We start from the raw sequence: 27,455 nt of genomic DNA on the forward strand, positions 1-27,455 counted from the left end.
AGCCCAGTGGTTGACACATAAAGACTCAAAAATAGTTTTGTTTTTTTTTTTTTTTTTTTGAAACAGAGTCTTGCTCTGTTGCCAGGCTGGAGTGCAGTGGTGCAATCTCAGCTCACTGCAAAGTCTGCCTCCTGGGTTCAAGCTATTCTCCTGCCTCAGCCTCCCGAGTAGCTGGGATTACAGACGCCTGCCACCACTCGCAGCTAATTTTTGTATTTTTAGTAGAGACGGGGTTTCACCATGTTGTCCAGGATGCTCTCGATCTCTTGACCTCATGATCCGCCCACCTCAGCCTCCCAAAGTGTTGGGATTACAGGCATGAACTACCGTGCCTGGCTCAAAAATACTATTATTAATTTTGGGGGGTAGTTACTATATTTTGTGAAAATCAGAGTTCAGTACCTTGTAACACTGGGTTGGGATCTATCCCTGAAGGAACAGGCTTCCAAAGAGGAAGGCATGGAGAGAGGGGCAAAATTTCAGTGTATGTTGTAATGACTTTAGGTATATGGACCTGGGGCTAAGTTCTAGCTGGGGCCACCAGGTGGCAAGGTGGACTTTGCTAAATTCTATCACTTTCCTGGGCCTGAGACTCACTTGTTACAAATGGGGTTAAAGCATCCCTCTTTCAGGGCTAAGATAAAGATGATTAAGTAAGAGGGAATGAAAGTAACTTCCATCAACTGTCAAAAGTATTCGTTTAAATTTTTTTTTTTTTTGAGATGGAGTCTCTCTCTGTTGCCCAGGTTGGAGCGCAGTGGCATGGTCCCGGGTCACTGCAACCTCCACCTCCTGGGTTCAAGTGATTCTCCTGCCTCAGCCTCCTGAGTAGCTGGGACTTCAGGTGCATGCCACCACGCCTGGCTAATTTTTATATTTTTAGTAGAGACGGGGTTTCACCATGTTGGCCAGGATGGTCTCCATCTCTTGCCCTTGTGATCCACCCACCTTAGCCTCCCAAAGTGTTGGGATTACAGGCATGAGCCACCACGTCCGGCCCATTTAACTTCTATATTACTTTCCTATTGGTGGATTTACCAGTGCAAACTGAGCAGCTTAAAACACCACCCAGTTATTATCTGTTTTCATGAGCCAAGGGTCTGGGCAGGGTTTAACTGGGTCTTCTATTCAGGGTCACAATACGGCAACCAGAGTGTCAGTTGGAGCTGGGGTCTCATCGGATGCTCAGTGTCTTCTTCCAAGCTTATTCAGTCTGTGAACTGAATTCGATTACTTACAATTGTTGAATGAAGGCCCTCAACTCCTAGAGCTGCCACCTCCAAAGACAGCTCACAGCATGGCCATTTGTGTCTCCTTGGAGGCTAAGGGTTCAATCTCTGAAACTTCACCTTTAAAAGATTCACCTGATTAGGTCTGGCCCACCTAAGATCATCCTGCTTTGGATGAACTCAAAGTCAGCTGAGCAAATGTGCTTAACAAAGCAAGTGTGACCATAATCACATTTGCAAAATTCCTTCCTCTTGGTCAAATCACAAGCTCTGCACACACTCAAGAAGAGGAGATGATACAGGGAGCAGATATAAGGGAGTGGGTCTCTTGGGGGCTGTCCTAGAACTCTGCCCGTTACAACTTCCTTTCTCGAGGAACAGCAGGCCTGGGGAGAGATGATCACAGATGAGCGCAGCCCACAGGTGGTGAGTGCCTGGTGCTGGGGTAGGATGCAGGAGGCTGTGAAGCAAGTATGAAAAGCCTTCTCTGGGCTGGGTGCAGTGGCTCGCGCCTGTAATCCCAGCACTTTGGGAGGCCGAGGTGGGTGGATCAGGAGGTCAAGAGATCGAGACTATCCTGGCCAACCAACATGGTGAAACCCCGTCTCTACTAAAAATAAAAAAATTAGCTGGGCATGGTGGTGCATGTCTCTAACAACCCAGCTCCTCAAGTGAGCAATTCCTGTCCCTTTTAAGGGCTCACAACTCTAAGGGGGTCTACATGAGGGGGTCTTGATCTATTGACCAAGCAGGGAGTACGTGACTGGGGGCTGCATTCAGCAAACCCCATGTCTACTAAAAATACCAAAATTCAGCAAAGTTTCAGGATACAAAATCAATGTGCAAAAATCACAAGCATTCTTATACACCAATAACAGACAAACAGAGAGCCAAATCATGAGTGAACTCCCATTCGCAATTGCTTCAAAGAGAATAAAATACCGAGGAATCTAACTTACAAGGGACATGAAGGACGTCTTCAAGGAGAACTACAAACTACTGCTCAATGAAATAAAAGAGGATACAAACAAATGGAAGAACATTCCATGCTCATGGCTAGGAGGAATCAATATCATGATAATGGCCATGCTGCCCAAGGTAATTTATAGATTCAATGCCATCCCCATCAAGTTACCAATGACTTTCTTCACAGAATTGGAAAAAACTACTTTAAAGTTCATATGGAACCAAAAAAGAGCCCACATTGCCAAGTCAATCCTAAGCCAAAAGAACAAAGCTAGAGGCATCACACTACCTGACTTCAAACTATACTACAAGGCTACAGTAACCAAAACAGCATGGTACTGGTACAAAAACAGAGATACAGACTAATGGAACAGAACAGAGCCCTCAGAAGTAATGCCACACATCTACAACTGTCTGATCTTTGACAAACCTGACAAAAACAAGCAATGGGGAAAGGATTCCCTATTTAATAAATGGTGCTGGGAAAACTGGCTAGCCATATGGAGAAAGCTGAAACTGGATCCCTTCCTTACACCTTATACAAAAATTAATTCAAGATGGATTAAAGACTTAAATGTTAGACCTAAAACCATAAAAACCCTAGAAGAAAACCTCAGCAATACCATTCAGGACATAGGCATGGGCAAGGACTTCATGTCTAAAACACCAAAAGCAATGGCAACAAAAGCCAAAATTGACAAATGGGATCTAATTAAACTAAAGAGCTTCTGCACAGCAAAAGAAACTACCATCAGAGTGAACAGGTAACCTACAGAATGGGAGAAAATTTTTGCAATCTACTCGTCTGACAAAGGGACCTACGACTTTCTTATAACCAAGAGAATATGGCAGAGGTGATGGGATGTAGTGATTATGTTAGATAGGATGTTAAGTTGTCTGGCTAGGAGGCTGTCTGTCTCGCTGGCTTTGAAGATGTGAGCTGCCATGTCATGAGCGGCCAGATGGAGAGGCCCATTTGGCAAAAAGCTGAGGGCATCAACAAACTGGGGCCCTGAGTCCAGCAGCCTGCAAGGAACTGAATGCTGCCAACAACCAGATGAGCCTGGAAGCAGATCAATCACCAGTCAAGCCTCCAGATGAGAACTGAGCCCTGGCTGACACTATGGTTGCAGCCTTGCACTGAACCCAGCTGAGTCACGCCTGGATTCCTGACCCACAGAAACCATGCAGTGATAACTGTCTGCTGTCTCAAGCCACAAAGTTTGCAGTAATATTGTTGCACAGCAATAGATAACTAATATAAAAACTGTCCTGGCCGGGCGCGGTGGCTCACGCCTGTAATCCCAGCACTTTGGGAGGCCGAGGCGGGCGGATCACGAGGTCGGGAGATCGAGACCATCCCGGCTAAAACGGTGAAACCCCGTCTCTACTAAAAATACAAAAAAATTAGCCGGGCGTAGTGGCGGGCGCCTGTAGTCCCAGCTACTTGGGAGGCTGAGGCAGGAGAATGGCGTGAACCCGGGAGGCGGAGCTTGCAGTGAGCCGGGATCCCGCCACTGCACTCCAGCCTGGGCGACAGAGCGAGACTCCGTCTCAAAAAAAAAAAAAAAAAAAAAAAAAAACTGTCCTACATCATGTACATTACTGAGCGAAATGTAGAACCTGGATTTGAGCTCTGATTTCAGAGGTGTGGTCTCAGTCTCCCCAGGGAGACCTGTCCTGGGAGACAGTTATGCCAGGCTGTGATGCTGTGTTGATTGTTCTCTTCCTACCCAGAAGCTTTCAATAGGCATGTCAAGCATGTGACCCTAGCTACATATACCAAATGTATTTCTGACAAATGCCAGGACATCGTGAGCTTTCTTGTTTTACTGAGAGCTCCATAAAGGAATGACTATCTTTTTCTTTTTTTTTTTTTAAAGAGTCTCACTGTCACCCAGGCTGGAGTGCAATGGTGCTATCTCAGCTCACTGCAGTCTCTGCCTCCTGGGCTCAAGGGATTCTCCAGCCTCAGCCTCCTGAGTAGCTGGGATCAAAGGTGTACATCACCACACCCAGCTAACTTCATATTTTTGGTAGAGATGGGGTTTCGTCATGTTGGCCAGACAGATCTTGAACTCCTGGCCTCAAGTGATTCGCTTACCTCGGCATCCCAAAGTGCTGGGATTACAGGCATGAGCCACTGCACCTGGCCTGTCTTATTTATGTTATGTCTACGTGAAACAGGCCAGTGGTCAGCACAAAAGGGGGTCCAAATGTGAAAGGAAAGAGCAAACACAGGGGAAACATAGGGGTGTTCAGAAATAGTTCCCAGGTTACTGCCTGTTTCAATATGTACAGTCCTCGGCCCCACCCACAAGATTCTGACTTGGCAGGTCAGAGTTGGAGACGGGGGAGCTACCTGGTTACGAGGGATCCCAGTTCATTTTGAGGCAGCTGGTTGTTAGACTGCATTGTAAAAATTACCCCCCAAAGATGTGAAGGGATAATTTATGTATTTTTAATAGAGATAGGTTTTCACCATGTTGGCCAGGCAGGTCTCCAACTCCCAGCCTCAGGTGATCCGCCCGCCTTGGCCTCCCAAAGTGCTGGGATTACAGGCATGAGCCATTGCTCCTAGCAGTATTTTTTTCGTGAGGCAAAATTCACATAACACACAAGTCCCTGTATGAAACCATATACTTCAGTATCATTAAATACATTCACAATGTTAAGCAATCATCATCTCTGTCTAGTTCCAAAACATTTTCATTAACACCCCCCGCCCCCCCAAAAAATAACCCTGTATCCAATCAAGCACTCTCCATCCCCTCCCCTTTCCCCCAGTTCCTGGCAACCACTTACCTGCTTTCTGCCTCTACAGATTTGCCTATTCTGGACCTTTCACATAAATGGAATCATGTAATATATATAATAACCAAAAGGTAGCAACAACAAAGATGGTCATTTGGTTGATGAATGAATAAACAAAATGTGCTGTATCCATACAATGAAAGTATTGGTGCCTACTACATGTGGATGGACCTTGGAAACATCATGCTGAGTGAGAGAGAGCCTTGGTATTGTTTCATCTCCCCAGGAGATTCCAAGGTGCAGCCAAGGTTGAGACCCACTGACAAGCAATGGATATGGTTGGGTGCAGATGAAATAAGGCAGCCAGGGGCAGGAGGGATGTCTCATTGAAGATGACTGTTTGTGGATGCCTAGCAGGGGTGGGGATGAGGGATGATAACAGCAACCCCAATCTCAACACAGCGTGACCGATTTTATCTTCAGCCAGCTGATACGCCTCATGGGATTTGGACACATGACATCTCTGCCTCCCAGGTTCAAGCAATAACTCCTGCCTCAGCCTCCTAAGTAGCTGGGATTACAGGCATGTACCATCACACCTAGCTAATTTTTGTATTTTTAGTAGAAACAAGGCCTCATCATGTTGCCCAGGTTGGTCTCGAACTTCTGGCCTCAAATGATCCACCCACCTCAGCCTCCCAAAGTACTGGGATTACAGGCATGAACCACAGTGGCAGCCTCCAAATTCTATTTGAAGTTTGACTTTCCACCTCCAGAAAATCCAAACGTTTGCCCTAGTCACAGTGGGACACCCCGGAGTTAATTTGAGAGAAATGTGCTTTTAAAAACAACTCCAGGCCAGGCGCAGTGGCTCACGCCTATAATCTTAGCACTTTGGGAGGCCGAGGCGGACGGATCACGAGGTCAGGAGATCAAGACCATCCTGGCTAACACGGTGAAACCCCGTCTATACTAAAAATACAAAAAATTAGCCGGGCGTGGTGGCACATGCCTGTAAGCCCAGCTACTCGGGAGGCTGAGGCAGGAGAATCGCTTAAACCAGGGAGTCAGAGGTTGCAGTGAGCCGAGAGCGCGCCACTGCACTCCAGCCTGGTGACAGAGAGAGATTCCGTCTCAGAATAAATAAATAAAACCCTCCGATATGAACACCAAACTAGAATCACTCCATTGACTTCCCTCCACCAATCAGGGGGAGTGATGGTGATGGTGCATGAGTGTCTATTTGCATTGAGTCTTAATGGAAAATAAGGTTGTGTCACTCAAAGGAAAAACAAATCACAGCCCAGACTGGAGCTGTGGATGAATAACACGGCTGAGTGTTGGTACAGGCTTTCCACAGCAATATTAAAACTGAAAAAATCAGCAATGAAGCTCCCAGCCACATTTCTGCCTAATGATTTGGGGGAAAACAACAGAGGCACTCCTCAACTTTTCCTTCGCTGCACAAAGTGGGTTTGGCTGGAAATGCCAAATGTGCTTGTTGCTGGGATCTTTCAAATGAAAGCAAGCTGGGAGTCAACCTCCTGCAGCCACAGTCCAGAAATGGGTTGAGACCAAACTATTATACTCACACTGATGCACATCTAAACAGATTTAACTCCCTCACAGCAATCCAGATTAATTTAATATGCTTTCTTAATGGCATTCCGCATTTCTCATTAAAGCAAATGAACGTCCATCCCTCTGTGATAAATTAGGTCAAAAAACATTCATATATTTAGGGCACAGGGAAGGAGGAGTTGTTGGCTGTTAAAAAAAAAAAAAAGTCCTGCAAATGGACTTTCAAAGTCTAGACATCTTCATCATCAACACAAACACTCCTCTTCACAAAGGGACCTCAAGTAACCTTAGGCTGGAGGGCCCACCTGCTTATGTTTTTCTTCTCATTCTTTCCTACCTTCCCTCCAGCCCACACAACTCACATTCAGTGACCAAGTCACGTGGGTTTTACCTCCTAAATCTTTCTCATATCCTTCACTGCTCAGCCACTCTCCTGACACCACCATAAACCAAGCCACCATCACCTCCAGCTGTTTGACTGCAAATGCCTCCAGACTGGCCTCTGCTTTTCCCTGGCCCTGTGACAATCTGCATTCCTCACAGGGACCAAAGCAATCACTTCAGAAGGTGCATCCAAACAGATCACTCAACTTTCAATGGCTCCCTCTGCTGTGTGGGTTAACAATGATAAAAGCTCGGCCGGGCGCGGGGGCTCACGCCTGTAATCCCAGCACTTTGGGAGGCCGAGGCGGCCGGATCACGACTTTAGGAGATCCAGACCATTCTCCCTAACACGGTGAAACCCCGTCTCTACTAAAAATACAAAAAAATTAGCTGGGCGTGGTGGCGGGAGCCTGTAGTCCTAGGTACTCCGGAGGCTGAGGCAGGAGAATGGCGTGAACCCGGGAGGTGGAGCTTGCAGTGAGCCGAGATCGCGCCACTGCACTCCGGCCTGGACGACAGAATGAGATTCCATCTCGGAAAAAAAAAAAAAAAAAGATAAAAGGTCACATTTTCTGAGCACACACTATCTCAGTCCATCCCTACATCAGCCCTTTATTTCACCAGTGGGGAAGCTGGGACAGAGAGTAGTTACGTGGGATGCCCAAGGTGGGACCACTCGTGTGAAGTTTCCACACCCTAATGTGAGACCCTCCATGACCTAGCCCCTCTCTTTCTCCAGCCTCATTTCCTGATTCTCTCGCTTGCCCTGCAGGCTTCAGCCACAGAAACTTCTTGAAAGTCCCTTAAATCTGGCTGAGCACAGTGGCTCATGCCTGTAATCCCAGCACTTTGGGAAGCTGAGGCGGGTGGATCACCTGAGATCAGGAGTTCGAGACCAGCCTGGTCAACATGGTGGAACCCCATCTCTACTAAATATCCCAAAATTAGCCACGTGTGGTGGATGGCACCTGTAATCCTAGCTACTCGGGAGACTGAGGCAGGAAAATCGCTTGAACTCGGGAGGCAGAGGTTGCAGTGAGCCAGGACGGCACCACTCCACCCAAGCCTGGGCGTCAAGAGTGAAAGTCCGTCTCAAAAAAAACAGTCCCTTACATCTGCTCTATGCCTATCAACCTCAGGGACTTTACTATGGTGTTCCTCACCCTGAAATGCTGTTCCTCATTTCTCCACATAGTGAACTCATCCCACCCCCTACGCCTCTCCTTAAGTGTCATCTCTTCAAGGAAGATTTTACTTTTTTAATATAACTATTAAAATATAATTCAGGTACCGTATGATTTGCCAATTTAAAGTAAACAAATCAATGGTTTCAGTGCATTCACAGAGCTCGGCAACCACCATCATGATCAATTTTAAAACATTTTCATCACCCCAAAAGAAACCCTGTATCCATGAGCAGGTACCTGCCATTTCCTCCTCCCACTAAGCCCTGACAATCTACTTTTTTTGAGATAGAGTCTCTGTCACAGGCTGGAGTGCAGTGGCACAATCTCGGCTCACTGCAACCTCCGCCTCCCGGGTTAAAGCAATTCTCCTGCCTCCCGAGTAGCTGGGATTACAGGGATATGCCACCACGCCCATCTAATTTTGTATTTTTAGTAGAGACAGGGTTCCTGTCTTCATAGATTTGCCTGTTCTGGACATTTCATATAAATGAAATCTTATAATATGTGACCTTTGTGACTGGTTTCTTCTACTTAGCATAATATTCTCATAGTTCATCTGTGTTGTAGCACGTGTGAGTACTTCATTCCTTTTGATGACTGAATAATATTCCATTGCATGGTCAAACCATGTTCTATTTCTCCACTCATCAGTAGACAAGCATTTGTGTTGTTTTCACTTTGGCGCTATTATGAATAATGCTGCTATGAGCATTTGTATACAAGTTTCTGCACGGACATATATTTTCATTTCTTTCATAAACTGGAGTGGAAGTGGTGGGTCATAGAACTCTGTGTTTAAGCTTTTGAAGAAGTGCCAGACTGTGTAAGAAAGAAAGCCTTTCCTCACCCTGTGAGACTGAGCTCCCTCTCTCCATTTATACGTTCTCTTTATGCCCTTTGCTTCTCTTTCAGAGCAATTCACGTTGACCTGGGTCACCCTCAACTTAAGGCTCATAACTCCCCTAGATCCTCAGGGCCCACACTAAATGTGATGAAATATGATGGAAGCCACATATTTACTTTTGCATTTTGTAGTAACCACATTTTAAAAAGTAAAACAAAAGAAGTGAAGGTAATTGGAATAATATCACAGATTTAAACAAATCTATCCGAAATACCAGGTCTACAAGTATAAAATATTTTAACATTAACAAAATACTTTGCTTTCTTTTTACATTAAGTCTTCACAGTCTAATGTGTATTTGACACTTCTTGCACATCTCAGAATGATGGCAGCACCCCATATGGGGGGCCCTCCCGTGATGCCAATGATGGGCCCTCCTCCTCCTGGGATGATGCCAGTGGGACCTGCTCCTGGAATGAGGCCACCCATGGGAGGCCACATGCCCATGATGCCTGGGTGCCCAATGATGAGACCTCCTGCCCGTCTCATGATGGTGCCCAGTCAGCCCAAAATGACTTGACCAGACAGATAAGGATAGAGGGGAGGCCTCATTACATCAGTGTTGTTTTGTTGTTATTAATGTTGTGTTTTCTTTGTTTGTAATGTTTTGTTTTGTTTTTGAGACACAGTCTTCCTCTGTCGCCCAGGCTGGAGGGCAGTGGCACGATCTCAGCTCACTGAAACCTCCACCTCCTGGGTTCAAGCGATTCCCCTGCCTCAGCCTCCTGAGTAGCTGGGACTACAGGCGTGCGCACCATGCCCGACTAATTTTTTTTATTTTAGTAGAGACAGGGTTTCACCATGTTGGCGAGGATGGTCTCAATCTCCTGACCTCGTGACCCGCTCGCCTCAGCCTCCCAAAGTGCTGGGATTACAGGTGTGAGCCACTGCGCCTGGCCTATATGAGTTTTATATTTACCTGCTCCCTTCACCAGGAGATCATGCTGCTGTGATGCCGGGTTTTCTTAACAGCATAAGGAAGACTTGCCCGCTTGCCCTATCAAAGAGAATAGTTTTGGAGGGGAGAAGTGGGAACAAAAAAGATGCAGTTTTCATTTCTATTGGGAAATGTGAAAATAAAATTGTCAACTCTTTTAGTTAAAAACAACAACAAAGAAAAGGAAACGAGATGTGGGGCTGCCACACGCAATATCGTGCATTAAAGGGATCTTCTACTCTGGAGGAAAATATCTTTGCTGATGCCAGACCAACCTAACACAAAGACCTTTTGGTTTTTTAATGTGACTGTGTTTTATTTTACAATGTGTAATTCACTTTAGAAGGGCAAAGTACCTGTCTGGGGAAGACTATTTAATTTCCTGCATTTATTTAGAATATTGGCTAATGTTATTCTGAAGGGAAATATCTCTAACAAGTGAGTGCCCCCCACATAGACACAGCTCATGAGCTCACGGGGCAAAGGAATTGAACAGCAGCCTCCTAATAGCTAGCCTTCTTTGTGGTATGGAAATAATTATCAGCATGTAAAAGACTATATATATATTCAACAATTCTGACCCCCTGCAAAATTCAAATCTACAATTGATTTGTTTCCTGGGCCCCTGAAAACAACTTTGTCAAAATTGTTCAGAAATAAAATCAGCCAATCGTTGCCCCTTGGGGACGCAGGACAAAGCAAATCAGCCATGACCAATGTGGAGTCGGCCGTACACAATTACATGCAGACCTGCAGGACATCGAGTCCCTGCTATGGTCCCTCCGCAGTCAGGCCCCCATTGCCTGGGCTGCAGCCAGAAGCATTCAGGCACAAGTGCATTCAACAAATACTTATTTAATTGTATTGGTGGTTAGAGGGTTGCAGTTGATTAAGGTACATTAATGGATCCATGTCCTCCCTGTAACCAAGACTCTGCCATTTGTCTCTGCAGCTCCTCCCACTGAAGAATTGGAGTATATTTCTCCAGCCCCTAATGTTGGGTTTAGTCATGTGTCTAGCTTTGGCCACTGGAATATTAATCTGCATGACCAAAAACTTGGAATGTATGCATTCATTTGTGCTCACTCGCTCCTGCTATCACCATGAGAACAAGCCCAGGCCAGCCTGCTGCTTCCAGCAGAAGATAAGAGACACCAAGAGCAAAGCAGAGTTTCCCAGACATGCTCATGCTAGATTAACCAATCCTCAGCTGACCCATAGATCCATGAAAATAAATGACTGTTGTATTAAGCCTGGGTGACAGAGTGAGACTCCATTGCTTAAAAAAGAGAAAAAATATTTCCCAGATAAGCAAAAGACTGTTTGTTTGTGTCTTGTTTGTTGTGGTCCTACAAAAAATGCTTAAGGGAGTCCTACACTGGGAAGCAAAAGAACAATATCTACCATCATGAAAATACATGAAAGTATAAAACTCATGGTAGTGCAGACACACAAAGGAGAAAGGATTCAAACGTCACCATTAAAGAAAACCACCAAACTGCAACAATAAATAATGAGAGAAAAAAGGAACAAAGGTGTATTAGTCTGTTTTCACATTGCTGATAAAGACATACCTGACTGAGACTGGGCAATTTACAAAAGAAAGAGGTTTAATGGACTTACATTTCCACGTAGCTGAGGAAGCCTCACAATCATGTTGGAAGGCAAGAAAAAGCAAGTCATGTCTCACCTGGATGGCAGCAGGCAAAAGAGAGCTTCTGCAGGGAAACTACCCTTTTTAAAACCATCAGACATTGTGAGACGTATTCACTATCATGAGAACAGCATGGGAAAGACCTGTCCCCATGACTCAATTACTTCCCACCAGGTCCCTCCCACAACATGTGGGAATTCAAGATGAGATTTGGGTGGGAACACAACCAAAGCATATCATTCTGCCCCTGGCCCTTGCCAAATCTCATTTCAAAACAAATTTTGCCTTCCCAACAGTCCCCCAAAGTCTTAACTAAGTTCAGCATTAACTCAAAAGTCCACAGTCCAAAGTCTCATGTGAGACAAGGCAAATCCCTTCCACCTATGAGCACGTAAAATCAAAACCAAGTTAGTTACTTCCTAGATGCAATGGGGGTATAGGCATTGGGTAAACACAGTCATTCCAAATGGGAAAAAATTGCCAAAACAAAGGGGCTACAGGCCCCATGCAAGCCCAAAATCCAGTGGGGCAGTCAAATCTCAAAGCCCCAAAATGATCTCCTTTGACTCCATGTCTCACATGCAGGTCATGCTGATGTAAGAGGTGGGTTCCCATGGCCTTGGGAGAAAAAAGGCCACAGCTCCACTCCTGTGGCTTTGTGGGTATAAACCCCCTCCTGGCTCTTTCACGGGTTGGCATTGAGTGTCTGCAGCTTTTCCAGGCACACAGCGCAAGCTGTCAGTGAATCCAACATTCTGGGGTCTGGAGGATGGTGGCCCTCTTCTCACAGGTCCACTAGGTGGTGCTGCAGTAGGGACTCTATGTTGGGGCTTCGACCCCACATTTCCCTTCTGCACTGCCCTAGTAGAGGTTCTCCATGAGTGCCCTGCCCCTGCAGCAAACTTCTGCCTGGACAACTAGGCATTTCCATACACCTTCTGAAGTCTAGGCAGCAGTTCCGAAACCTCGATTTTTGACTTCTGTGCACCCACGGGCTCAACACTATGTGGAAGCTGCTAAGGTTTGGGGCTTGCACCCTCTGAAGCCACAGCCCACATTGTACCTTGGTTCCTTTTAGGTGCAGCTGGAGTGGCTAAGACTCAGGCACCCGAGGCTGCTCACAGCAGGGGGCCCTGGGTCCAGTCCACAAAACCATCTTTTCTTCCTAGGCCGCTGGGCCTTTGATGGGAGGGGCTGCCATGAAGCTCTGTGACATGCCCTGGAGACACTTTCCCCATTGTCTTGGAGATTCACATTTGACTCCTCGTTACTTAAACAAACTTCTGCAGCCAGATCGAATTTTTCTTGAGAAAATGGGATTTTCTTTTCTATTGCATTGTCAGGCTGCAAATCTTCCAAACTTTTGTGCTCTGCTTCCCTTATAAAACTGAGGGCCTTTAACAGCACCCAAGTCATCTCTTGAATGCTTTGCTGCTTAGAAATTTCTTCTACCAGATAACCTAAATCATCTCTCTCAAGTTCAAAATTCCACAAATCTCTACAGCAGGGGCAAAATGCCACCAGTCTCTTTGCTAAAACATAACAGGAGTCACTTTTGTGCCAGTTCCCGGCAAGTTCCTCATTTCCATCTGAGACCACCTCAGCCTAGACTTTATTGTCCATATAACCATCAGCATTTTGGGCAAGTCTCTAGGAAATCTCTTCCAAATTTCCCCACATTTTCCTGTCTCCTTCTGAGCCCTCCAACCTCTGCCTGTTTCCCAGTTCCAAAGTCACTTCCACATATTCAGGTATCTTTTAGCAACACCCCACTTCTGGTACCAATTTACTGTATTAGTCCGTTCTCACACAGCTGATAAAGACACATACAAGACTGGGAAATTTACAAAACAAAGAGGTTTAATGGACTTAAACTGTAGTTCTACGTTGCTGGGGAGGCTTCAAAATCATTGCGGAAGTCAAGGAGAGACAAGTCACATCTTACAGGGATGGCAGCAGGCAAAGAGAGAGCTTGAGCAGGGAAACTCCTCCTTTTAAAACCATCAGATCTCATGAGACTTACTCACTATCAAAAGAATAGCATGGAAAATACCTGCCCCCATGATTCAACTACTTCTCACTGGGTCCCTCCCACAACACATGGGAATTCAAGATGAGATCTGAGTGGGGACACAGCTAAATGAAATCAAAAGGATATACAAAATAACCAGCAAACAATGAACAAAATGACAGGAATAAGTCCTCACCTATCAACAATAACTTCGAATATGTGTTAAATTACCTACCTAAAAGATAGAGACAGGCTTAATGGATAAAAAATGACCCAACAACGTCTACAAGAAACTCACTTCACTTGTAAAGACACACACAGACTGAAAGTGAAGAGATTGAAAAAGATATGCCACACAAACAGAAATCAAAAGTAATCAGGAGTAGCTAAACTTGCATCAGATAAAACAGACTTTAAGTCAAAAACTGTAAAAAGGACAAAGAAGGTCATTATATGGTAATAAAGGGATCAATTCAGCAACAAAATATAACAATTCTAAATATGCATGCAACCAACACAAGTGCATCCAGACACACATAGCAAATATTATTAAATCTACAGAGAGAGATAGAGTCCAATACAATGATAGTTGAGAACTTCAATATCCTACTGTCAGCATTGGACAGTTCATCTAGACATAAAATCAACAAAGAAACATTAGATTTAAGCTGCACTTTAGACCAAATGGACCTAACAGATATTTTCAGAATATTTCATCCAGCAGCAGCAGAATACACAATCATCTCATCAACACATGGAACATTCTCCAGGATAGACCATATGTTAGGACACAAAACAAGGCTCAACAAAATTTTAAACATTAAAATCATATCAAGTATCTTCTCAGACCACAATGGAATAAAACTTGAAATCAATAACAAAAAATTTGGAAACTGTACAAATACATGGACATTAAATGTGCTATTGAATGATCATTGAGTCAATGAAGAAATTAAGATGAAAATCAAAAAATTTTTTTAAACAGAAAATGGAAACACATCATGCAAAACCTATGGGATACAGCAAAAGCAATACTAGGAGGAAGGTTTATAGCAATAAATGCCTACACCAAAAAAGTAGAAAGATCTCAAATAAACAACCTAATGTTGCACCTCAAGGAACTCAAAAAGCAAGAACAAACCAAACACACAATTAGTAGAAAGAAAAAAAAATAACAGCAGAACCAAATGCAACAGAGACAAAAAAGAAATGCAAAGAATCAACAAGATAAAAGTTGTTTTTTTGAAAAGTTAAACAAAACTGATAAACCACTAGTGAGGCTAACCAAAAAAAAAAAAAAAAGAGAAAGAAAGGAGACCCAAATAAATACAATCAGAAATGAAAAAGGAGATATTACAACTGTTACCAAAGAAATAAAAAGGATGATTAGAGGCTATTATGAACAAGCATATCCTAACAAATTGGAAAACTTAGAGGAAAGGGATAAATTCCCAGACATACACAGCCTACCAAGATTGAACTAGGAAGAAACAGAAAACCTGAACTGACTCAAAATGAATAGCAGGTTTGAATCAGTAACAAAAAGTCTCCCCAAAGAGAAAAGCCCTAGAGTAGGCTTTTATGCTGATTTCTACCCAGTTTATAAAGAAAAACAAACACCAATTCTTCTCAAACTATTCCCAAAAATTGAAGAGGAGGGAATTCTTCCTAACTCATTGTATAAGGCCAGCATTACCCTGATATCCAATCAAGACAAGGACACAACAGAAAGAGAAAACTACAGGCCAATATTCCTAATGAACACAGATGGACAAATTCTCAGCATAATACTACCAAGCCAAATCTAATGATGAATGAAAAAGATAATATACCATGATCAAGTGGGATTTATCCCAGGAATGCAAAGATGGCTCAACGTACACAAAATCAATGCATGTGATACATCACATCAACAAGATGAAAGGCAAAAACTATCTGATCATCTCAGCAGATGCAGAAAAATCACTCGGTAAAACTTACCATTGCTTCATGATGAAAACTCTCAACAAATTAGGCATAGAAGGAACACTTCAACATAAGAAAAGGCATATATGACTAATCTACAGCTAACATCCTACTCACTGGGAAAAATTGAAAAGCTTTTCCTCTAAGAACTGGAACAAGACAAGGATGCCCACTTTCACCACTCTTATTCAACACAGTATGGGACATCCAAGCCAGAGTGATCAGACAAAATAAAGAAATAAAAGGCATCCAAACTAGACAAGAGGGAGTCAAATTGTCTCACTTTGCAGATGACATAATCTTATACTTGTAAACAGAAAAACCTAAAGACTCCACCAAAAAACTCTTAAAATGGATAAATTAGGCTGGGCATGGTAGCTCATGCCTGTTATCCCAGCACTTTGGGAGGCCAAGGTGGGCGGATCACCTGAGGTTGGGAGTTTGAGACCAGCCTGGCCAACATGGTGAAATCCTGTCTCTATTAAAAATACAATTAACCAGCCATGGTGGTAGGTGCCTGTAATCACAGCTACTTGGGAGGCTGAAGCAGGAGAATCACTTGAAACCCAGAGGCGGAGGTTGCAGTGAGCCAAGACTGCATCACTGCACTCCAGCCTGGGCAAGAGAGCGAGACTCTATCTCAAAAAATAAAAAATAAAAAAAATTTAAAAAAACAGATGTATAATTCAGTAAAGCTTTAGGACACAAAATCAACATACAAAAATCAGTAATGTTTCTATATACCAGTAACAAACTAGCTAAAAAAGAAACCAAGGAAGAAATTCTATTTACAATAGCTACAAAAATAAAATACCTAGGAATAAACTTAACCAAGGATGGGGAAAAAAAAAAAAAAAAACCTCTACAATGAAAACCACAAAACACTGATAAAATAAATTGAGAAGACACAAACAAATGGAAAAGCATCTCATGCTCGTGGCTTGGAATTACTAATACTGTTAAAATGACACTACCCGAAGCAATCTAGAGATTCAGTATAATCCCTATCAATTATATTCTTCACAGAAACAGGAAAAAAAAAAACCCTGAAATTCATATGGAACCACAGAAGACCCCAAATAGCCAAAGCAATACTGAGCAAAAAGAACAAAGCTAGAAGCCTCACACTACCTGATTTAAAAGTATACTGCAAAGCAGCTGGGCGTGGTGGCTCATGCCTGTAATCCCAGCACTTGGGGAGGCCAGCGCGGGTGGATCATGAGGTCGGGAGATCGAGACCATCCTGGCTAACACGGTGAAACCCCATCTCTATTAAAAAAAAACAAAAAAATTAGCCAAGGCTGAGGCAGGAGAATGGCGTGAACCCGGGAGGCGGAGCTTGCAATGAGCCGAGATTGCATCACTGCACTCCAGCCTGAGTGACAAGGCAAGACTCTGTCTCAAAAAAAAAAAAAAAAAAAAAAAAAAAAAAAAAAATATATATATATATATATATATATATATATATATATATATATGTATATACACACACATACTGCAAAGCTATAGTAACCAAAACAGAGTGTATTGGTATTAAAACAGACACAATAACAAAGGAAACAGACTAAAGAACCCAGAAATGAATCCACATATTTACAGCTGATTTTCAAGAAAGGTGTCAAGAACATACATTGAATAAAAGACACCCTCTTCATTAAATGGTGCCAGGGAAACTAGATATCCAAACACAGAAGAATAAAACTAGACCCTTATCTCTCATCACTTACAAAAATAAACTCAAAATCGATTAAAGACTTAAATGTAACAGCCACAACTATAAAACTACTAGAAGTAAACACAGGAGAAACGCTTGAGAACAAAGATTGTATGGCTAACACTTAAAAAGTACAAGCAACAAAAACAGACAAATGGGATTATATTAAATTAAATACCTTCTGCATATCAAAGAAAACAATCAACAGAGTGAAAAGACAACAACCCTCCCTTACACCATATACAAAAATTAACTCAAGATGGCCTACAGACTTAAATGTAAAACCCATAACTATAAAAACCCTGGAAGACAACCTAGGCAATACCATCCGGTACATAGTGATGGGCTAAGAGTTCATGGTGAAGATGCCAAACGCAATTGCCACAAAAGCAAAAATTGACAAATGGGATCTAATTAAATGAAAGAGCTTCTGCACAGCAAAAGAAACTATCAAAAAATAAACAGACATTTCTCAAAAGAGGATATACAAATCACCAAGTTTATGAAAAAATATTCAACATCACTAATAATCACGGAAATGCAAATCAAAACCACAGTGAGATATCATCTCATACTTGTTAGAATGGCTATTATTAAAAAGACAAAGCACAACAAATGCTGGCAAGCATGTGAAGAGAAGAAAATTATCATATATTGTTGGGAATGTAAATTAGTACAGCCATTATGAAAAAAAGTACAGAGATTTCTCAAACAACTAAGAACAGATCTACCATATGATCCAGCAATCCCACTCCTGGGTATATATCCAAAAAAAAGGATATCAGTGTATCAACGGGATATCTGTACCCCCATATTTACTGCAGCACTATTTACAATAGCCAAGATATGGACTCAATCTAAGTGTCAATCAATGGATGAATGGATAAAGAAAATGGGAATAGACGCACAATAGAATAGTATTCAGCCATAAAGAAGAATGAAATCCTGTCATTTTCAGCTAAATGGATGGAATTAAAGGTCATAAAGTTAGGTGAACTAGGCCATGCACAGAAAGAAAACTATTGCATGTTCTCACTTATATGAGCGGTTTATGCTCCTGGAAATCAAAGTGGGGGCCATGTTTCAGGTCAGTAGGGTCAGGGATAGAGACCGCAGTTATGGACTTGTGTGCCCTGGAGCTATATAAAATTGATATCATGGAGATAAAGAGTAGAATGATAGTTACCAGAGGCTGGGAATAGAAGGGGTTTGAAAAGAAGTTGATTAATGGGTATAAAAATATATAATAGAAGGTATAAGATCTAGTGTTCATTATCACAGAAAGTGACTACAACAATTTGTTGTATATATATATTTTTAATTTCAATAGTTTTTAGGGAACAGGTGGTATTTTGTTACATGGATAAGTTCCTTAGTGGTGATCTCTGAAATTTTGGCGTACCCATCACCAAAGTAGTTTACCCAATGTATAGTCTTTTATCTCTCAACTCCTCCCACCTTCCCCCTGAGCCCCCAAAGTCCACTGTTTCATTCTTGTGCCTTTGCATCATCATAGCTTAGCTCCCACTTACGAGTGAGAACATGCAATGTTTGGTTTTCTATTCCTGAGTTACTTCATTTAGAATAATGGTCTCCAACTCCATCCAGGTTGCTATGAATGCCATTATTTCATTCCTTTTTAAGGCTAAGTAGTATTCTATGGTATATATATATATATATATATATATATATATATATGTGTGTGTGTGTGTGTGTGTGTGTGTGTGTGTGTGTGTGTGTGTGTGTGTGTATATATATATATAAACACATTTTCTTTATCCACTAATTGATTGATGGGCATTTGGGCTGGTTCTATAGTTTTGCAACTGTGAATTTTGCTGCTGTAAACATGTGTGCAAAAGTATCTTTTTCATATAATGACTTCTTTTCCTCTGGGTAGATACCTAGCAGTGGGATTGCTGGATCAAATGGTAGATCTACTTTTAGTTCTTTAAGGAATCTCCATGCTGCTTTCCATAGTGGTGGTACTAGCTTACATTCCCACCATCAGTGTAAAAGCGTTCTCTTTCACCACGTCCGTGCCAACATCAATTTTTGCTTTTTTTTTTTTTTTTTTTTTTTTTTTGAGATGGAGTCTCGCTCTGTTACCCAGGCTGGAGTACAGTGGCGCGATATCAGCTCACTGCAACCTCTGCCTCCCGGGTTCAAGCAATTCTCCTGCCTCAGTCTCCTGAGTAGCTGGGATTACAGGCAACCACCACCATGCCTGGCTAATTTTTGTATTTTCAGTAGAGACTCGGTTTCACCATGTTGGTCAGGCTGGTCTCAAACTCCTGACCTCCTGATCCGCCCACCTCGGCCTCCCAAAGTGCTGGGACTACAGGCATGAGCCACCGCACCCAGCTCTATTTTTGTTTATTTTACACGTGGTATTGCATTGTGATTTTGATTTGCATTTCCCTGGTAATTTGTGATGTTGAGCATTTTTTCATATGTTTGTTGGCCATTTGTATATCTTCTTTTGAAAATTGTCTATTAATGTCCTTGGCACACTTTTTGATGGGATTATTTTTTTCTTGCTGATTAGAGTTCCCTGTAGATTCTGGACATTAGTCCTTTGTCAGATGCAGTTTGTGAAAATTTTCTCCCACTCTGTGGGTGATCTGTTTACTCTGCTGATTATTTCCTATGCTGTGCAGGAGGCTTTTACTTTAATTAAGTCCCATCTATTTATCTTTGTTTCTATTGCATTTGCTTTTGGGTTCTTGATCATGAACTGTTTGCCTAAGCCAATGTGTAGAAGCGTTTTCCAATGTTATCTTCTAGAATGTTTATGGTTTCAGACCTTAGATTTAAGTCTTTGATCCATCTTATGTTGATTTCTGTATAAGGTGAGAGATGAGGATCCAGTTTTATTATTTTACATGTGGCTTGCCAATTATCCCAGCACTATTTGTTGTATAGGGTGTACTTTCCCTACTTTGTTTTTGTTTACTTTGTCGAAGATCAGTTGGGTGTTAAGTATTTGGCTTTATTTCTAGCTTCTCTACTCTGTCCCGTTGGTCATGTGCCTATTTTTATACCAGCACCATGCTGTTTTGGTGACTATAGCCTTGTAATATAGTTTGAAGTTGGGTAATGTGATGCCTCTAGATCGGTTCTTTTTGCTTAGTTTTGCTTTGGCTGTGCAGACTCTTTTTTAGTTCCAATTGAATTTTGGCATTATTTTTTTCCAGTTCTATAAAGAATGATGATGGTATATTGATAGGAATTGCATTGAATTTGTAGACTGCTTTTGGCAGTATGGTGATTTTCACAATATTGAGTCTACCCATCCATGAGCATGGAATGTGTTTCCATTTTTTTGTTTCATCTATGATTTCTTTCAACAGTGTTTTGTAGTTTTCCTTGTAGGGGTCTTTCATCTCCTTGGTTAGGTATATTCCTAAGTATTTTATTTTTACAGCTATCATAAAAGGGTTTGATTTGATTCTCAGCCTGGTAGGTGTTGGTGTATAGCACTGCTATTGATTTGTGTACATAGATTTTGTATCCTGATAAATGGATTTATTGTATATTTCTAAATAGCAATAAGATTTGAAATATTCCCAACACAAAGAAATGATCAATGTTTGAGGTGATTAATATCCTAAAGACCCTGATTTGATCATTACACATTGCATGCATGTACCAGAATCTCACATGGACCCCACAAATGTGTACAATTATTCTCTATCAAAAACATTTTTTTAAGAAACATGGAGGAATACACTGTACCTCTTCCTTGTTGTCTCTGGATATTGTCACATGAGGACTTGACATGCGGATTGTGGCAGCCTCTGTGACCAAGAGCAGAAGACAATAGCAGCATAGAAACCTCAAATGAAAAACCTAACATCTCAAGCTACTAATTTAGCCAACCTTGGCATCAGCTATCTCCGGTCTTAGTACATGAGGTGATAAGCCCCCACTGTTCAAGTTCGGTGGCCATCAATTGCTGCAGAATAGAAGTTAATGAGGCTTCCTCCTCCTGGATCCTCTACTAGACCCTGACATACCCATTCAGTCACAGGCAGAAAGGGAAGCAGAGGGTAAGGAGACCTGGCTGGCTGTGCCAGATGCAGATCTTACCTGTCCTGCTTAGAACACTCAAAGCTCAATTGGTTAAACAAAAAAAGGAAAAACACAGTAAGGAGTATAACACTCCCCAGATGCAACTTAATCTAACACTCTATACTTTAAATTTTCTAAACATACAGAGAAATCAGACCACTACTTCTGCAGAACATTTTCCTGGTAAAAAGAACAGCCCACATGAGGGAAAACTGATTTGGTGGAAGACAACAAAAACAAAACATGGGAAATAGGTAAGGTGATAACATGGGGGAGAGGTTTTGCTTGTGTTTCACCAGGAGAAAATCAGCTTCCTGTTTGGATACCCACTAGACATTTGAAGTTCTACAATCAACCCATCAGAGATGCAAATGAAAGTGCCTCCGCAGAGACAGAAAACCCGCAATCAAGCATCATCGACTCGCAGGGTGAACAAAATGGTGATATCAGAAGAACAGATGAAGTTACCATCCACCAAGAAAACGGCACATGTGGAGAGCCAGGGAGAAGAATAGAAAGAAAAAGAGACAGAGATCAGAGACAGACACAGAAAGTGAGATTGGGGAGAGAGATAGTGTAAAAGAGAGAGAGAGAGAGAGACCATAAGAGAAGGGAGACAAAGAGATAAAAGGTGCGAGTCATCAGGTGAGGAGAAAGACTGAAAACGATGAGAAACAGCAACTAAGACACAAAGGAGGTGGGAGACTGCCTGGGTGCCGCAGCACCCACACCGTCCTCTTGCCCCCGTCACTTGGGTTAAAACCACCGGAAATTCCACTATTGCAAATTTTGTATTAATCCTTGTATGTCTGTCTTTTCTGTTGTTAGTCTACAGGTGTATCCAGCAGCTCCAGAGAGACAGCGACCGACCAGAGAGAAGGGGCCATGATGATGGTGGTGGTTTTGTCAAAACGAAAAGGGGGATATGTAGGGAAAAGAAAGAGAGATCAGACTGTTACTGTGTCTACATAGAAAGGGAAGACATAAGAGACTCCATTTTGAAAAAGACCTGTACTTTAAACAATTGCTTTGACAGAGACAGTTGCTTGAGTGCATTCATGTGTCTTCTTCTTCCACAGGGAGAACGAGGCCCCTGAGGTCTTCCTGGACTCCGAGGTGAGGAAGGATGCCCTGGTATGAGGGGACCTAAGGTGAGTGTGACCTTAAGCTGTGGGATTCTTTCTCTTTCTTGGCTTCATCTCTTGAGTTTGAGGAAAATCATAACTCTTCAACATAGCTATGGAGTCTTAGCTCCCCCTCAGATTAAAGGTTTTCCAGAAGTAAAGCCTGAGAAAAAGAGTCAATTGCAAGTATTTTACTGGGAGATAATTCTAGTAAGCATTAGTGGGGAAGTAAAGAAGTGAGATAAGGAGGAAAGGAGGCCTGAAAAGGGTACATTATAAATCAGATCACCACTGTGGGTAGATGGAGCTTAATCATACTGAAGAACTCTGGCACCCAGAGTTGAACATGCATCTCAATGTACCCCAGTTAAGGGATGAGGGAGCTGTGGTATTTATACACCAAATCCCATCAAGAATTAGTTAACAGCAGCTTCCAGGAGGTATTAGTTCCTAGCACTTTGGGTCTGTCTTGCATGTGGGTAGAGCAGGCCCTGGTCCCTGAAAAAACCCTCAGAAAAGAGTGACAGGTGCTGGTGGTTGGAAGTAGGATTGAGAACACTAAAGTTTTTTTTGTTTTTGTTTTTATTTTAATTTTAAGTTCTGGGGTACATGTGCAGGATGTGCAGGTTTGTTACATAGGTAGACGTGTGCCGTGGTGATTTGCTGCACCTGTCAACCCATCACCTAGCTATTAAGGCCTGCATGCATTAGCTATTTTTCCTGATGCTCTCCTTCCCCCAACTCCATCCGCCGACAGAGGCCCCAGTGTGTGTTGTTCCCCTCCCTGTGTCTATGTGAGAACACTAAAGTTTTAAAGGCTAAAGGGATACAGGTACATTTTTGGCTGGTTGCATTAAATGTCCCTCAACTGTCCAGGATTGGAGAATCTTCCTTAATAAACTAAAAGAAAAAAATTCTACAATCTAAGAATCCTAAAGACAGTTTTCCTAACCACAATGACCATGTTCTGTATACCTATCAAATTACTCTTTCAATTCATTTTTCCTGTTGTTCCTTGAACTCCTATCATGCTTGCTAGCCGATATATTCTCACTTTTGTTTGAAAAAATATCATCATTTTAATAAGAGGTAGGCCACTGTTGTTCCCTTTCATTCCTACTATGTGAGGAACTGCAAAGTGCAATTTTCTCCAGGTTCCATGCAAAGGAGGGTAGCAATAACCAGGGTGTTGTAATGCCCACCACATTTGCCAGACAAGGCATCTTCATTTTGATCTAATATTGTAATTGCATTTTCTTCAAACCAGGGAACATATGGTTTCCTAAATGAAACAAGGGCTTAAAAATCTCATTCAAGCTCAATTCTTATGATCTCTTTCTAACTTTAGGGAGCAAGAGGATTTTCAGGAGAGAAGGTAGGTAATCTCCTTTATCCTTCTTAAACTGGATAGCAGTTTCTTTGGGAAATGCAATACTTATTTCAATCGCATTTCTTTGCCTGAGTGAGGTGAGGCTTCAGACTTTTAGACAAGAGAATTTGTCAGATGATATTAATAGCCAAACTTCCATGCTAATGAGTGACTATTTTTAAGACATGTATTTCAGGTTTAAGGCAGTGACATATTGTTTGCAATCCTCGCTGACTCTGTATAAGAATTGGGCCACCATATTCATCACATGATGGTCTAGAAGTGTTGGTCCTGAATCCAGGGTATGGTGGGCTGGGTCTGGTCAAGGTGGGTGTCAAATGGAAGAGGAATGCTGGGATGAGGTTGTTAGGAAAGGAGTTGGCACAAGAAGGGAATGATTTACATTCAGATTCAGAACCATAGCATCCATTTGCTGATTCACTCACTCAAAAAGTATTTATTAGGTACCCACTCTGTTCCCCACATTATCCTAGGGAGTGGTTACAAAATGATGAACAAGACACACAAGGGCTCATGGAGCTTCCTTATTCATGTTTTCTGGTACCATCGATTAACCTTCTGCGGCCTGTGGCAAATATGCCATGTAATTCTAGTCCAAGAGTTCGGTATACTTATTTTTATGTATAACTCAGCTGTGCTTTGGTTAAAAAAAAGCCTGAAACTTGATTTGCTTTTGTAGACAGCAGGCGTAAATCAACTATTTCACACATGCAAATGCATTTTATTTTGCTTGTGAAACTCTGGCTTTTTCTTTAAAAAATTCTTTATAATGAATATATTATTGGTCATTTTGGGTTAGTTGGCAAAATGAAGGGCCCATAATTTGAAAGTGATGGAATATTTGATGAGATGTCACCATGCCACTGCCCAGTTTTACTCTTATCTCCTAATTAGCCTCAGTTTTTCACTTCCTTTCTTTTTTAAAATTTTATCTCCCAAAATGCACACACATGCACACACACTCATTCAGTTCCTCCTTAATCTGTGAACTACCAGGTTTCCATTAGATTGATTAATTTGGGCATATTTGCCATCTTTTTAAAGAAGGTCAATGACAAAAAGACCATTTTTGGCATTCGACAACCAGTGTTTCATTTGGTCTTGTGAAACAGCTACTTGTTCCAAGTGCAAAAGTTTAAAGGGAGTCTCTTATCCACTCAAATTTTGAGGTTAAAAAATACATACACATTTTTAGCACCTGAAGCTATGAGGTAAAACAGTATATAACCCTAATAACTGTTTCAGGAAGAAAATAATCATTACTTTTTAGTAACTGGGTGCAGTATATAAGTGTTACAGAGTCTAGATTCTGTATCAATTGAAAAAATATTAGCAAGGAAATTAACATCAAAGAAATATTCACATAAACCTGTTTCTCTTGTCTCTAAGATTCTGATCTTCCTTTGCTTCACAGGGCAACCCTGGTGAGGGAGTTGATGGCTTGCATGGAGAACAGGTGCAGAAGTTTCTCATTTAATGTCTTCCTCTCTATTAACCTGGCATTTATACTCTTGTAGAGAGTACAGCTTTTCATGACTAGCTAGAATTTTTAACATGCATACTCAACAATGTTTAATGTTAATCTCTGTATTTTTCCTCATCCTCAAAATACAAGGACTCTAGAAACTTTAATCAACTCCCTCCCATATTACATATTATTGTCTAGTATTTTATTTCCATCTTGTTTTTGTTAAATTCTGCCGATTACACATTCTTATTGTTGTTTTATATAGTCAATGCTTATCTAGCTTTACCCTCATGTTTACTCATCTGACTGATGCCTTCCTTGTAGTCATCGATACCTTCAAAAGAACATGAAAAAATCATGTTTCTTTTGCTTAAGGCACAACTTTTAGAATTTCCTTTAATGAAGGTCAGTTCATTGTAAACTCTTCTTGTTTTTGTTTTCCTGAAAATCTCTTTGAAAGATAGTTCACTGGGTAAGCAATTCTGGTTGATGGTTACTTTCTCTCAGCACTGTGAAAATGTAATTTCAACCATGGCATGTGTATACCTATGTAACAAAACTGCACATTCTGCACATGTACCCCAGAACTTAAAGTATAATAAAAAAGAAAAAAAGAAAAGACTTGGAAAAAATACGTAAGTGCTCCAACTCAGAGTATTAGAAAAAAGGAAAATGTAATTTCATAGTCTTCTGGCTTCTATTTTCTTCTACCTTTCATTAGTGCCATTAAGAAGTTATCTGTTGGCCGGGTGCGGTGGCTCACGCCTGTAATCCCAGCACTTTGGGAGGCTGGGGCGGGCGGATCACGAGGTTAGGAGATCCAGACCATCCTGGCTAATATGGTGAAACCCCGTCTCTACTAAAAATACAAAAAAATTAGCCAGGCGTGGTGGTGGGCACCTGTAGTCCCAACTACTTGGGAGGCTGAGGCAGGAGAATGGCGTGAACCCGGGAGGCAGAGCTTGCAGTGAGCCGAGATTGCGCCACTGCACTCTAGGCTGGGTGACAGAGCGAGACTCCGTCTCAAGAAAAAAAAAAGAAAAAAAGAAGTTATCTGTCAAAATAATTGTTCTTTTGTAAGCAACTTTAAAAAATGTATAAGGCTGCTTTAAAATGTTCCCTTTGATTTTAGTTTTTGACAGTTTCAATATGATGTGTCCAGGTGTGGATTACTTTTTATGTATTCTGCTTAGGACTTGTCAGTCTTTTGAATCTGACTGTTTATGTTTCTTATAAATTTTGGAAATCTTCAGTGCTTAATTTTGAAATTATCATTTTGAAATTTTATTTTTCCTATTTTCTGTATTATTTCTTTGCAGAAATCTAATTAGAAATTTGTGAAAACTTCTCATTTTGTCCCCAATATGTCTTAACTGCTCTTTTGTATTTCTATTTCTTTGTCATTCTGTGCTGCATTCTGTATAATTTCTTCAGTTTCTAGTTCACTAATTCTCACCTCACTTGCATTTAATATAATATCTAATTTGTCAATTGAATTTTTAATTTTAATTATATTTTTCACTTCAAGTAGTTCTATTTGATCCTTTCTGAAATCTACTTGGTCTCCTTTCATAGTTTGTTATTTTATTCATTCTCTTCTAATTATTTAAACATACTAAATATACTCATTTTATATTCAGTATATTATAATCCCAATATTTGCAGTCACTGCAGGTCCGATTTTGTTGTGTGTTGTTTCTGCTGGCTTCTCCTTCATGGCATCTCCCTCATGTGTGTTGTGACTTTTGATTTAAACTCATTTTTTGATGGAATGTTATCTGTGAGACATCATTAGGGCCTGAGTTGAGGTTGTTTGCTTCTGTCATGTGTTCCTAGTGGCACTACGTTCTGGGACCACCCTAAAATAAATTGTAAGTTTGAGGCCCTTCACACCACACACACACACACACACGGCACACACCACACACACACACAATTACAAGAAGCCCTCAGGACAGCCATGAGCTATTACTTGTCTGCAATTTTGCTTTCTCTTTATTATGAACCATAAGGATTTTTTAAATCAGATTTTTTTTTTTGAGATGGAGTTTTGCTCTTGTTGCCCAGGCTGGAGTGCAATGGCGTGATCTTGGCTCACTGTAACCTCCACCTT

The 27,455-nt window shown here is 41.6% G+C and overlaps 2 long non-coding RNA genes and 2 pseudogenes across 3 annotated transcripts in view; 3 read left to right on the forward strand and 1 right to left on the reverse strand.

Moving 5' to 3' along the window:
* Positions 1–14,947, reverse strand: part of LOC107986133 (uncharacterized) — a 38,839-nt gene extending 23,892 nt beyond the window's left edge. The window contains exon 1 of the long non-coding RNA XR_001740907.2: positions 11,566–14,947. This is a non-coding gene — a long non-coding RNA (uncharacterized LOC107986133). The remainder of the gene's footprint in view (positions 1–11,565) is intronic.
* Positions 9,328–10,109, forward strand: SNRPCP8 (small nuclear ribonucleoprotein polypeptide C pseudogene 8; annotated as a pseudogene).
* On the forward strand, positions 9,846–11,198 carry LOC124909433 (uncharacterized). The gene is made up of 2 exons (XR_007096085.1): positions 9,846–9,882; positions 10,895–11,198. It is a non-coding gene; the product is annotated as an uncharacterized LOC124909433 (long non-coding RNA).
* Positions 14,948–22,436: 7,489 nt separating the features above from the next.
* COL6A4P2 (collagen type VI alpha 4 pseudogene 2) overlaps positions 22,437–27,455 on the forward strand; it is a 60,987-nt pseudogene continuing 55,968 nt past the window's right edge. The window contains exons 1-3 of the transcript NR_027898.1: positions 22,437–22,511; positions 23,833–23,859; positions 25,289–25,330. The product of NR_027898.1 is annotated as a collagen type VI alpha 4 pseudogene 2 (transcript). The remainder of the gene's footprint in view (positions 22,512–23,832; positions 23,860–25,288; positions 25,331–27,455) is intronic.

This window comes from Homo sapiens, chromosome 3, assembly GCF_000001405.40.
Source record: "Homo sapiens chromosome 3, GRCh38.p14 Primary Assembly".
NCBI lineage: Eukaryota > Metazoa > Chordata > Mammalia > Primates > Hominidae > Homo > Homo sapiens.